Raw genomic sequence first — 14749 nt, forward strand, 5'->3', positions numbered from 1 at the left:
ACCAGACCTTTCTCTCTGGTTGCCCTTAACATTTTTTCCTTCATTTTAACCTTAATGAATCTGATGATTCTGTGTCTTGGGGTTGCTTTTCTCGAGGAGTGTCTTTGTGGTGTTCTCTGTTTTTCCTGAATTTGAATGTTGGCCTGTCTTGCTAGCCTGGAGAAGTTCTCCTGGATAATATCCTAAAGAGTGTTTTTGGTACATACGTTTAAACAACCAGATCTCCTGAGAAATCACTCACTATTGGGAGGACAGTGCCAAGCCATTCATGAGGGAACCATGCCCATGATCCAAACATCTCCCACCATGCTTCACCTTCAACTCTGGGGATTATATTTGACCATGATATATGGAGGGGACAAACATACAAATTATATCAAAGGCATAGCATGGCTACTGTGAAAGGAGGGTAAAAACACAAAGATGACATCACCACTGACCTCAGGGAGTGCCCAGTAGACTGAGGGAGACAAGTACATATTTTCCTGAAGGAGGGCACTGGATTGATGGCATGTTTAGAATGTGGAAGTAGAGCGGCCACAGAAAGGCAGCCCGGCAGAGTGCTCGCACAAAGACTGGGCTAGAGACTCCCCACTGCATGTGATGTATCTGAGGAAAGTCATTAAAATAGGTGATGGTCACTTTCCATCAAGTCCCTGGTATGGTCCATGGAGGCAGGGTTGTCAATGTCATTTCGGCATTTCAGAGGCCTCTCAGGGTTTGGATATGGCAGAAGACAACCAGCAATGATTATGCATTGCAGAGATGCAGGTGAGCCCCAATTTCTTGCCAGCTGGGAAGTCGGTGCTAAGGGGCCTTGCTGTCTTTCCTTGGAACATAGGATACCAATTTCTTTCTGGACAGAGAGTATTTGGTTGGCTAAAGTTAAAATCTAAATTTTGCTTTGGGATGAATTCCAAAAATATTAGCTTTATTCAAATTTACTTTCACTTTATCTTTCTGAATCTTCAAGGTCCTAAAGCATTGCTTAGTAATTTTGTTTCTAAACTCACGTTACAGCACTGGGCATGATCTGTCCAAGGCAGAGACTATAAGCTACTCTTATAGTACTCTTATGAGATACATACAAGTAGGTATCTCAAAAAATGATACTCATGTATTCCTGTTCTTATGAGTAAATCATTGGCAGTGAGTGTGATTTTTTTTTTTTTTATGACAGGATAAATACACGCCCTCTATTGGGGTCAGGTTTTGTGCCTGTAGTTCTTCCGCCTACTGTATCATAGCAGCTTAGAATCCCAGCTGCTGGCTCGGGCTGCAGTTCTCTCATGGCTCGCACAGGGTGGACCAGCCCCATTCCCCTATGTGTTTCTCTGCTGCTGACCTGTGGCTTTGCTGAGGCAGGGAAGCTGCTGGTAGTGCCCATGGATGGGAGTCACTGGTTCACCATGCAGTCGGTGGTGGAGAAACTTATCCTCAGGGGGCATGAGGTGGTTGTAGTCATGCCAGAGGTGAGTTGGCAACTGGGAAAATCACTGAATTGCACAGTGAAGACTTACTCAACCTCATACACTCTGGAGGATCTGGACCGGGAATTCATGGATTTCGCCGATGCTCAATGGAAAGCACAAGTACGAAGTTTGTTTTCTCTATTTCTGAGTTCATCCAATGGTTTTTTTAACTTATTTTTTTCGCATTGCAGGAGTTTGTTTAATGACCGAAAATTAGTAGAATACTTAAAGGAGAGTTCTTTTGATGCGGTGTTTCTTGATCCTTTTGATGCCTGTGGCTTAATTGTTGCCAAATATTTCTCCCTCCCCTCTGTGGTCTTCGCCAGGGGAATAGCTTGCCACTATCTTGAAGAAGGTGCACAGTGCCCTGCTCCTCTTTCCTATGTCCCCAGAATTCTCTTAGGGTTCTCAGATGCCATGACTTTCAAGGAGAGAGTACGGAACCACATCATGCACTTGGAGGAACATTTATTTTGCCAGTATTTTTCCAAAAATGCCCTAGAAATAGCCTCTGAAATTCTCCAAACACCTGTCACAGCATATGATCTCTACAGCCACACATCAATTTGGTTGTTGCGAACAGACTTTGTTTTGGACTATCCCAAACCCGTGATGCCCAATATGATCTTCATTGGTGGTATCAACTGCCATCAGGGAAAGCCATTGCCTATGGTAAGTCACCTCTCCTTTAGCACATTAGGAATAATCTGGCTTTGGAAATTAAAAAAAGATTCCTTACTGAATTGTGATTTGACATTTTCATTTGTTGCATTTCAAATTTCTTTCCAGTTTAACAGATTATTTTGTGCCAATTTATGTACTCATCAGTTATCAAATTTTATAAAACTGCCCTTCTTGAAGGTGTGTGTATATAATTTAAAAATTGTAGATCGTATTCAGCTTACATTTTTGAGTACCATGTTTAGAAAAGTACCAAAAACCACAGTAAGAAATTGAACTTTCCTTTTTTGCTAATTCTATGTGACCCCCTAGAGCAAATGCTCTTAGCAGTTTTGCATACATTCTTTTCATTAAAAAAAGTATTTTAGGTGTATATATTTAATTTAAAAATTATAGATCATATTTAGCCCACGTTTTTGAGTACCGTGTTTAGAAAAGTACCAAAAACCACAGCAAGAAATGAAACTCCCCTTTTTCCTAAGTTTTCTGACCCCTAGAGGAAATGCTCTTATCAGTTTTGTGTATATTCTTTTCAGTATAAAAAAAGTTTCATTTATATGCAATATCTAATGTAAATTCTCATACCTATTTTGTTAAAATAAACTTTTATGCTGTGCTGGACATATTCTTCTTTACCTTGCATTTTTTATTTGCCAATAAATTGTAGATTCCTTTATACACCAATACAGACAGATTTGACAAGTTCTTTTCATAATTGCATAAAAGTCTTTACTTTGGATGCTATGTAGTTTTTTAAACCAATTAATATTGATATATGTTTAGGCATTTTCCATTTTTGCTTTTATGAATAAGGCTGTGTAAACATTCTTTAATAATTTCCTTGTGTGAATATATTTCTATATTCTTGCTTTTATCTTAGTAGACTAGAGTCCTACATGTAGGGTTAGAGGGTTTTCCTGAATTGAGAAGATTGGCATCTTTTTGCTATTATATCTTCCTGTTCAGGAATATGTGTGTCTCACTATTTATTCAGGTCTTGTTTTATATACATAAATAAAAATTTTCACTATATAAGCATTTATGTTTGTTATTAACATTTATTCCTTGGCATTTTATGATTTTTGAAACTATTTTTTTACAGGGTAATTTTTCCATTTCTACAATTAACTGACTATTGGTAATTAAAGTTTTGGTTTTTGCGTATGTATCTTGTATCCAGCCACATTACTAACTTTTCTTATTATTTTGTAGTATGCATTAGATGTACAATATGCAATACCATCTGCAAGTAATTCCCTTCTCTGATATTTATACTGCTTCTTTTGCTTTGCTGGAGCATATACTTCCAAAACATTATTGAGTAATATTGTTAGAGTAGCCAGTTTAAATAGGGATTTGGTAGCTTGTGACTGAAAAATCCTTGAAAAATACCAGAATAAGATTCTTGGCAAACGCATAGTTGCTAAATCCAGATGAAACACCTGGTGTCTCATCTCATTATATTATTTTATTAGGGATGGAGTATACATTTTTGTCTATTGTTCTGGCTTCTTATAAGGTTCAGTAGACTTTGTAACAGTCATATCTGTCATTGGCAGATGGTTGGTGAAAGAGTGACCGTTCAGCCATCTCACAGGAAAGTGAAATAATGCTCTTTCTAAAAAGCAGGAAGACTACAGTTGTAGGCCTTTCAAAATTAGGCATGACTTTCAGCTCACGGCAAGATCAGGTGAAGAGATGCAAGTTGCAGGACTCTAAGAGGTTGGACGTATCAAAGCACTTTTCTCCTCATTATCCTCCATTAATTACAGTACCAAGCACCACCCATGTGTTGCCTGCACCCTACACCCTTTGGCCGAGTGTGAGGCTCTGCCACTTCCTGAACCCACACTGAGTTTATTGTGGCCCAAGGGGTCACCCAGAGGCCTTTAGAGATATAAAAAAGTATATATGATTTTATATCACCTACGATAGGGAGATATCCATAAAAAAAGGAAACATTAAACTCTACATGGTTTCAGTTATTTTGATTATAAATCTTTTATGAGATATGAAATAAATGTGTTTCTATATCTATTAAAGAATATATATGTATGAAAGTTTTTATACTTGCAGAAGGTTATGTGTATTAATGTATATATTTATGATTATATGCATAAAGCCAGCAGAATTCTCACAGAGGAATTCAGATCTGAAAGAGGGCTTTCTGTCAAAGAGCCTTGGATATGGCCCAACCACAAAAGTAAAAGTCAACTGTCATCGAAAGAAGGATGGACACTGCGTATTGCTCCTTCCTTGTTTCAGATGCCAGGATATGTCTGGGAAAAGCATGCAGTTGGTTACATCTTGCTGGGAAACAAGATTCAGAGTGTGAGTCTCATCTGCCTGATGAGAAGGAAGCATTACTTAGTGATAGAGTATGTGTTTGCACATGTATGTGTTTGTGTATGTGCAGGTGTGTTTGCGTGCAGTGTCCCAGACCCTGCACAGGGGATTTCTTGAAGATCTCCTGTAACAAAATCTCCTTGAGTCTATCCAGGAGAATTACATCCAGGGATGTAATTAAATACTTTAACAAAGATGGCAGATGGCCCCATCTCCAACGTCAGGGATCAAATTTCAACGTGAGATTTGGAGGGGATAAACTTTTAAACTTTATCTTTTGGTATGGTCATTGTTTTACATTTCAGTATTCCAATGTGTGTGTGTTGATTAAAGATGTGTAAATAATTCAGCAGAACAGCGAAATAGTTTTAATGAGAAAAAGAGGAAGTCACTCCTAGTCTCTTTGAATTTTTGGTGAGTTCCAACAGAATTGATGACTGGTTTTAGGTGAAAAGAATTCGGGCTTCGTCTATACCATCCATGGTAGGTTCAGCTCTGCAGACCTGGGGATGGAATATGGTTACAGAGCAAGAAAAGATCTGTGCTTCCCCCATTCCTCTAAGTTTCTGGCTCCAGTTTAAGATCCAAATTCAAAGTTAGCTTTTGGTGGACAAGACTAAGGCCTCCCACTAAAATTGTTTACTTCAAGTATTTATTTTCAAAGTTTTCCAACCTATACAAAGGAGAGACTTAGTGTCATGACCACCCATATATCAATCTTAGGTTAAATAATTTTCACTATTTTGCTGAACTGATTCATCTATCCCTTTTTTCTGTCTTTTTAAAGAAAACTTTTAAAGAGAAATTTGTGTCAATCTTTTTTTAAATTATACTTTAAGTTCTAGGGTACATGTGCACAACGTAAAGGTTTGTTACATAGGTACACATGTGTCATGTTGGTTTGCTGCACCCATCAACTGATCATTTACATTAGGTATTTCTCCTAATGCTATCCCTTCCTCAGCCCCCCACCCCATGACAGGCCCCAGTGTGCGATGTTCCCCTCCCTGTATCCATGAGTTCTCATTGTTCAACTCCTACTTACGAGTGAGAATATGCACTGTTTGATTTTCTGTCCTTGTGATAGTTTGCTGAGAACGATAGTTTCCAACTTCATCTATGTCCCTGCAAAGGACATGAACTCATCCTTTTTTATGGCTGCATAGTATTCCATGGTGTATATGTGCCACATTTTCTTAATCCAGTCTATCATTGATGAACATTTCGGTTGGTTCCAAGTCTTTGCTGTTGTGAATAGTGCTGCAATAAACATACGTGTGCATGTGTCTTTATAGTACCATGATTTATAATTCTTTGGGTATATACCCAGTAATGGGATCACTGGGTCAAATGGTATTTCTAGTTCTAGATCCTTGAGGAATTGCCACACTGTCTTCCACAATGGTTGAACTAATTTACACTCCCACCAACAGGGTAAAAGCGTTCCTATTTCTCCACATCCTCTCCAGCATCTGTTCTTTCCTGAGTTTTTAATGATCGCCATTCTAATTGGCATGAGATGATATCTCATTGTGGTTTTGATTTGCATTTCTGTGATGACCAGTGATGATGAGCATTTTTTCATATGTCTGTTGGCTGCATAAATGTCTTCTTTTGAGAAGTGCCTGTTCATATCCTTTGCCCACTTTTGATGGGGTTGTTTTATTCTTGTAAATTTTTTTGAGTTCTTTGTAGATTCTGGATATGAGCCCTTTGTCAGGTGGATAGATTGCAAAAATGTTCTCCCATTTCATAGGTTGCCTTTTCACTCTGATGATAGTTTCTTTTGCTGTGCAGAAGCTCTTTGGTTTAATTAGATCCCATTTGTCAATTTTGGCTTTTGTTGCCATTGCTTTTGGTGTTTTAGTCATGAAGTCTTTGCCCATGCCTATGTCCTGAATGGTATTGCCTAGGTTTTCTTCTAGGGTTTTTATGGTTTTAGGTCTTACATTTAAATCTTTAATCCATCTTGAGTTAATTTTTCTATAAGGTGTAAGAAGGGATCCAGTTTCAGCTTTCTACATATGGCTAGCCAGTTTTCCCAGCACCATTTATTAAATAAGGAATATTTTCCCCATTTCTTGTTTTTGTCAGGTTTGTCAAAGATCAGAAGGTTGTAGATATGTGGTGTTATTCCTGAGACCTCTGTTCTGTTCCATTGGTCTATATATCTGTCTGGGTACCAATACGATGCTGTTTTGGTTACTGTAGCCTTGTGATTTAGTTTGAAGTCAGGTAGCATGATGCCTCCAGCTTTGTTCTTTTTGCTTAGGATTGTCTTGGCTATATGGGCTCTTTTTTAGTTCCATATGAAATTTAAAGTAGTTTTTTCCAATTCTGTGAAGAAAGTCAATGGTGGCTTGATGGGGATAGCATTGAATCTATAAATTACCTTGGGCAGTATGGCCATTTTTGTGATATTGATTCTTCCTATCCATGAGCATGGAATGTTCTTCCATTTCTTTGTGTCCTCTTTTATTTTGTTGAACAGTGGTTTGTAGTTCTCCTTGAAGAGGTCTTCGCATCCTTTGTAAGTTGGATTCCTAGGTGTTTTATTCTCTTTGTAGTAATTGTGAATGCCATCTAGTCATTTTAAAAAGAAATTCTTGGCATGTCATTCCATCACCGAATACTTAATTAAATATAAAAAATAAGAAACATTTGTTACATAGCCACAATATCATTATCATATCTATGACAGTAAAAATTTTTTAATATTATCTCATTTCCAGTTCATAATTAAATTTCCCCCATTTTCTTGAACAACATCTTTCCATGTAGATCAATGGAATAGAATGGAGAATTCAGAAATAAACCCATACGTTCTTGGCCAATTGACAAGATGTCAAATTTTGATAAGGGTGTCAAGATCATTCAAATGGGAAAGAATAGTCTCTTCAACAGAAGACCCACCCTGGGGTCCTTAATCTCCAGCATCAGACTCCAAGACCATTTGCAGAGATCATCCAGACAGCTCCCATCATGCCTCTGATGAATCCTTCACCATGTGCATCCACAGGGGTCCTGCAAATATTTTCTCACAGTCCGTTGAGTGACTTTTCTTACAAATACTTTATTTTAGAATAAATAGAGGTTTATAGCAAGGTTGCAACAAATAGTTCAGAGAATTCTTATCTACCCTGTACCCGGTTTCCCCCATTGTTAAATGTTATGTTTCTATGGCACATCCATCACAACTCATTCACCAATATGACACATTATGATGAGCTAAAGTCTGTTTCCTTCAGATTTCATTGATTTTTACTTAATATCCCTGTTCTTTTATGGGATCCCATTGATACCACCTGAAATGTAGTCATCATGTCTCCTTAGTCTCCTCCAGCCTGTGACAGTTTCTCAGACTTTCCTTGTTTTTGGTGACTTGGGCAGTTTTGAGCAGTCCTGGTCAGGTGTCCTGTAGAATGTTCCTCTAGAATGTCAGTGTGTGTTTGCCTGACATTTTTATCATGGTTAAACTGGGGTTATAGGTTTTTAGTAGGAAGATGCGGAGGTCTTTTCTTGTTTTCTTGCATGTGAATATTCAACTGTAGAAAAGAGTGGCCTTTCCTCCAATGCACTTCTTGTACCTTTGTAAAAACTTGGCTGTTCATACATCTGTGCATGTATTTCTAGACTTTGTATTCTGCTCCATTGAAATATTTGTGAAATATTTGATTACTATAGCTGTGTAATAATCTTGAAATGAGGTAGTGTTACCTATTTTTTTCAAATTGTTTTTGCTATTGTAGGTCTGCTACATTACCACATGGATTTTAGAATAAGTTTGTTAGTTTGATTTTGATTGGGATTGTATTGAATTTATAGATCAACTGGGGAGAAACAACATCTTAGCAATTTTGAATTTTCCAATTCATTAACATATCTATGTTAAGTGCCTCATCAGTGTTCTGTAGTTTTCAGTGTACAGTCTTTCATAATTTTTGTCAGATATATTCCTAAGTATTTCATGTTTTTGATGCTATTTAAGTGATATTTTTATTCCAATTTTTAATTGTTCATTGCTAGTATAGTTGACCCCTGAACAATGTGGGAATGAAGGGGACCAACCCGTGTGAAGTAGAAAATCCACACAGATCTTTTGATTCTCGAAAAACATAACTACTAACAACCATTTACCAAAAGCCTTACCAATAGTATAAACAGTCAATTAACACATATTTTGGATGTTATTAGTATTATATCCTGTATTATTACAATAAAGCAAACTAGAGAAAGGAAAATGTTATTTAAAAACATAACATATGAAAAAATGCCCAACATCACTAATCATCAGAGAAATGAAAGTCAAAACCACAATGAGATATCATCTCACACCAGTTAGAATGGCTGTTATTAAAAAGTCAAGAAACAATAGATGCTTGTGAAGCTGCTGAGAAAAAGGACCACTTGTACACTGTTGGTGGTGGGAACGCAAATTAGATCATCCCCTGTGGGAAGTAGTTTGGAGATTTGACAAAGAAGTTAAAACAGAACTGTCATTCGACCCAGCAATCTCATTACATTACTGGATATATATATTAAAAAAATCATTTTACCAAGAAACACATGCACTGGTATGTTCATTGCAGCTCTATTCAGAATAGAAAAGGCATGAAATCAACCTAGGTGCCTGTCAATAGTGGATTGGATGAAGAAAATGTGGTACATATACACCATGGAATATGCAGTCATAAAAAAAGAATGAAATCATGTCCTTTGTAACAACATGGATGCAGCTGGAGGTCATTATCCTAAGGGAATATATACAGGCACAGAACACCAAATACCATGTGTTCTCACTTAGAAGTGGGAGCTAAATAGTGGGTACTCATGGGCATAAAGATGGCAACAATAGACACTATGGACTACTAAAGGGGAGAGGAAGGGATGCAGGAGTTGAAAAACTATTGGGTAATATGCTCAGTACTTGGGTGATGGGAGCAATCATGCCCCAAACATCAGCATCACACAATATACTCAGGTAACCTGCACATGTACTCCTGAATCTAAAATAAAAGTTGAGTATGTATAAGAGGAAGTCATTCATCATAAAGGTCTCCATCCTCATCATCTTCCATTGAGTGGGCTGTGGAGGAGGAGGAGTAGATGTTGGTCTTACTGTCTTAGGGTGGCAGAAGCAGAAGAGGTAGAGGAGGTGGAAGTGGAGGCAGGAGAGGCAGGTGCACTTGGTGTAAATTTATGGAAATACATCATAATTACTGTCTGTTTTTTTCTCTTTGATGTATTTAAAAATGCTTTTATACAGTACTAATCCTTCTTCCCCATTTGCTTTAGTTTCAGTGCCCATAAGGGTTCATGTTGTAATAGAAGTCAATAGCAGTCTTAAATAACTGGAAGCCTTTCCATGAGGCTTGTATTGTGTAAGGCCATTTTTTTTTTCTGGCACTGCTTCTTCTACATCTTCTTTCTCATCAAGTAGTGATTGGAAAGCACTAATCTCTATCAGGTCATCTATTAATTCCTCGAGTGTGGTGTCTATTGACTCTTGAATTTCTCCAAGATTCATATTTTGAAACACTTTATCCCCCACCTTATGTTGCTGTATCCATAATCCCTTTCATGACTTCCTTGATTGGCTCTGTCTTAAATCCTGTGAAGTCATTCGCAACATCTGGTCACAGTTTTCTCCAGAAGAAATGAATTGTTTGGGGCTTGGTGGCTTTCACAGCTCTGTCTATAACAACAATGGCATCTTCAATGGTGTAATCCTTCTGGACTTTCATGACATTCTCTATCCAGATTCTCTTTCCTAGTATTGACAATCTTTTCCATAGAAAACTGTGTGTAATGAGTTCTAAAGTTCCTTATGACCCCTGATTGAGAGACTGAATTAGAGATGTTGGGTTTGGAAGCAGGTAGACCACTTTGACACCTTCAGTGTTGAACTCATGGATTCTGGGTGGCTAGCATTGTCCAATATCAAAAGAATTTTAAAAGACAGTCCCTTACTGGCAATGCATTTTCTGCCTTCAGGGACAAAGCGTTGATGGAACCAATCCAGAAAAAGTGTTCTTGTTGTCTAGGCCTTCTTGTTGTACAACCAAAAAACTGTCAGTGGGTGTTGATCTTGTCCCCTCAAGGCTTAAGGTTTGGCAGTTCTACACATGAGGTCAGTCCTGAGTGTAAACTTGACTGCATTTACACAAAACAGTAGAGTTAGCCTATCCCTTCCTGCCTTGCATTCTGGTGCTTGGTTTACTTCCTTGCTAATAAATGTCTTTTGTGTCATCTTGTTTTTGTTTTTGTTTTTTTCCAGAATAGGGCACTGTCATCTGTATTAAAACCCTGTTCAGGCAGATATGCTTTCCCCTCAATAATTATCTTCATGGCATCTGGGAACTCATTTGTCTCCTTTTGCTTGGCAGAGGCTGCTTCTCCTGTTATCTTGACAATTTTAAAGCTGAACCCCTTTCTAAAACTAGCAAACCATCCTTTGCTGCCATTAAATTTTCCAGTTTTAGATTCTTCACCTCTCTTTTGCTTTAAGTTGTCATATAATGACTTTGCATTTTCTCAAATCACATTGGCATCTATAAATACGCCTTTCTTATAGCAATGCTACACCCACGTTAAAGCTGCATTTTCAATATGAGACAAAAACGTATTTCAGAAAAAAATGCAAGGTTTGGCTCCTGCTGGCATAGCTGCAGCAATGTCTTCATGAATCTCCCTTCCTTCCTTCCTTTCTTCCTTCCTTCCTTCCTTCCTTCCTTCCTTCCTTCCTTCCTTCCTTCCTTCCTTCTTTCTTTCTTTCTTTTCCACTGGTCCTTATCTAGCTTCATTTATTTTGAAATGGCAGGCATTCACCACGGTAGAGCTCAGCCTATGGTCCCAATCAAGCAATTCGACTTTTTTGGTTATGTCATGATTTCTTTTTGCTTCTTGGGAGTAATTCCAGCATCATTAGGGGCACTCTGTAGTCCCATGACTGTATTCAAGATTTACAATATTGCACCAAACATGATGAAAAATACAGTAGAGCCATGAGAGATCACTTTTTACTCTGACATGCAATTTATTGGAGAGATGAAATGCTCAAACAGAGAGTATAAATGTTATATCACATGCACTTAAGCCACACTTCAGCTCACTGGAATAGCAACAGGAGGTAGCTACAAAATTATTACAGTAGTGTAGTATATACTATAGGTAATTTTATGCAGTTAAGATTTAATGCTGCCTCTATATGTTTGTATTTCTTTCCTGTGCTAATGATGCAATGTACACTTTGGAAATGTTTGTGTGTGGTTTAATAAATTTTTTATTGATTTGTGCATATTTTAAAGTAATAAATAATAACATGGTATCTGCACATGGTTTCTGCAGTCATGGCATAGCTTTAAAAATTTTTAGATATTTCTAGTTTATGTGGTTTATATATATATTTTTTCAAACTGTTAGAAATTTCTTAAAATTTTTGCAATATATTTATTTTTAAAAATCTGCATATAAGTGGATCCACACAGCTCAAAACCCTACTGTTCAATGTCAACTGTATATAGAAAGAAGATTAGTTTTTAAGTATTGTATCTTGCAACCATGCTAAACTTACGTATTTGTTCTAGGAGATTTTTGTAGTTTGTTATTATTCCTACATAGATAAACTTATTGTCTGTGAATGAGACCTTTTTTATTTTTTCTTTACAATCTGGACACTTTTTACTTCTATTTCCTCCCTGACTGCACTGGCTGGAACCTGAAGAACAATGTTGAGTAGAAGTGGGGAGGGCCCCTGTCCTCGGCATGTGTTTGCCTTGAGGAGTGGAGCATTCAGTCTTTCACCATCAAGGATGATATTAACTGTGGGTGCCTCCAAGATGTCCTTCATTAGTTTAAGATACTTCCCTTTATTTTCCGAGTTTGTTGAGAATTTTTTATCACAAATCGATTTTGGATTTTTGTCAAACACTTTTTCCATACCTATTGAGATAATTATATGCTTATACTTTTTTAGTTTATTTATATGGTATGTTACTTTAATTGATTTATAAAATTATTTATTTAATCATTAATTGTGGTGAAAACACATAGCATAAAATATATCATCTTCATCACTTTAGGTGCACAGTTCAGTATTGAGTACGTTCACATTGCTGTGCAACCAACACCACCATTCATCTCTAGAACTCGCTTCATCTTCCCAAACTGAAACTTTGGACCCATTAAAAAAGAATACTCCATTCCCCCCTCCTCTCAGCCCTTGCCAACCAGCATTCCACTCTTTTATTCTACGTATCTGACTATTTTAGATACTTCATATAAGTAGAATCATACAGCATTTGTCATTTTGTGATTAGCTTAGTTCACTCTGCACAATGCCCTTAAGTTTCATTCATGTTAGCATATGTCAGAATTTTCTTCCTTTCTAAGGGTGAATAATATTTCATGCTGTATACATACACCACATTTTTGCTTGGGTTGTTTCCACTTCTTGTCTGTTGTGAGTTATGCTGCTATGAACATGGTGGCACAACCTTGATTAATTTTCTAATGTCAAACCAGCCTTGCATTCCTAGGATAAACCCCACTTGGTTATGGTGTCTAATCTTTTTGTGTAGTACCTATTTTAAAATATTACAGACTTTGACTTGCCAATATTTTGTTTAAAATTTTTGCATCTAAGCTCATGAGGGTCTGTAATTTTCCTATCTTTTAATGTCTTTTTCTGGTTTTGGTACTGTGATAATGCTGGTCTCATAAAATGAATTAGGAAATCCCCTAGGCTTCAGTTTTTGGGACTAGTTTGTGAATAATTGGTATTATTTATTCTTCAATGTTTGCTGGATTCATCAGTGTTGTCATCTGAGCTTCACTTTGTTTTGTGTGGGAAGGTTTGAATTACAAATACAAATTCAATTTAAAAGATACAGGTTACTTCTATTGGGGTTATGCATTTATTCTTGTGACAAGTCTGGCAGTTTGTGTCTTTAACAAAATGTGTCCATTCTATCTAAGTTGTAGACTTTTTTTTGGCATAAACTTGTTCATGTTATTCTCTTAACATTTTAACATCTGTAGAATCTATGGTGATACCACCTCTCTCATTCCTAATATTGATAATTTCTTTCTTCTCTCTTTTTTTTTCAGATCAAGGTGGCTAGAGCTTTACCAAATTAATTGATCTCAACAAATCAGCTTTGGTTTCATTAATTTTCTCAACAAACCAGCTTTGGTTTCATTAATTTTGCCTGTTTTTTAAATGCATTTTCCATTTCATTGATTTCTGTTCTGAAGTAAGCCTCCAGGGGAGGTAGATCACTGACCATCATGTTTATTTTTCAAGGACAGTCATCTGCAAGTGCCCCAGTCACCAAAAGAAAAGGTGACTAAGCAAATGTCTAGTACCAGTTAGGGTGTCCCGAAAGGAGCCATCTTGTGCTCCTACAAGGATTATACCCCGAGGTTGTCTGCAGAATCTCTCACTAAATGTTCCTTAAGGTGTTGCCTGACACACACTGCTTAGCTCATCCATGAAGGTATCAAGAAAACCTGCAGAATATAATTCTGTCCAGTGCAACAAATATTCTGGTTGATTTTCTTTGTGCAGGGCTGCATTTGTCTGTTTGGATTGCTGTAAAGGATACCTGAGGCTGGGTAATTTATAAAGAAAAGAGGTTTAATTGGCTCACAGTTTGGCAGACTTTATATGAAACATGGTGCTAGCATCTGCTTCTGGTGAGGCCTCAGGAAGCTTACAATCATGACAGAAGGTGATGGAGAGCTGGCATGTCACATGGCAAGAGCAGGAGCAAGAGAGAGACAGGGGAGATGGCACATACTTTTTTATTTTAATTTTTATTTTTATTTCTGGGGTACATGTGGAAGATGTTCAGGTTTGTTACATAGGTAAACATATGCCATGGTAGCACATACTTTTTTTTTTTTCCTGCTCTAAAACTCTTTTTTTTTTTTTATACTTTAAGTTCTAGGATACATGTGCAGAACATGCAGGTTTGTTACATAGGTATACACGTGCCATGGTGGTTTGCTGCACCCATCATTCCTTCATCTACATTAGGTATTTCTCCTAATGCTTTCCCTCCCCTAGGCCCTCACCCCCCGACAGGCCCTGGTGTGTGATGTTCCCCTCCCTGTGTCCATGTGTTCTCATTGTCCAACTCCTACTTGCAACTCCAACTCCAACATGCAGTGTTTTGTTCTCTGTTCTTGTGTTAGTTTGCTAAGAATGATAGTTTCCAGCTTCATCCATGTCCCTGCAAAAGACATGA

At 37.4% G+C, this 14749-nt stretch overlaps 1 protein-coding gene and 1 further gene across 1 annotated transcript in view; both read left to right on the forward strand.

The window, feature by feature from the left end:
• The window catches only part of UGT1A (UDP glucuronosyltransferase family 1 member A complex locus), a 187861-nt gene that overhangs the window by 30980 nt on the left and 142132 nt on the right, over positions 1-14749 (forward strand).
• The window catches only part of UGT1A8 (UDP glucuronosyltransferase family 1 member A8), a 155668-nt gene continuing 142133 nt past the window's right edge, over positions 1215-14749 (forward strand). The window contains exon 1 of the mRNA NM_019076.5: positions 1215-2144. Within this exon, the coding sequence (NP_061949.3) occupies positions 1290-2144 (855 nt within the window). The 5' untranslated portion in view covers positions 1215-1289. The remainder of the gene's footprint in view (positions 2145-14749) is intronic.

This window comes from Homo sapiens, chromosome 2 (genome assembly GCF_000001405.40).
Source record: "Homo sapiens chromosome 2, GRCh38.p14 Primary Assembly".
NCBI classification, from domain to species: Eukaryota; Metazoa; Chordata; class Mammalia; order Primates; family Hominidae; genus Homo; species Homo sapiens.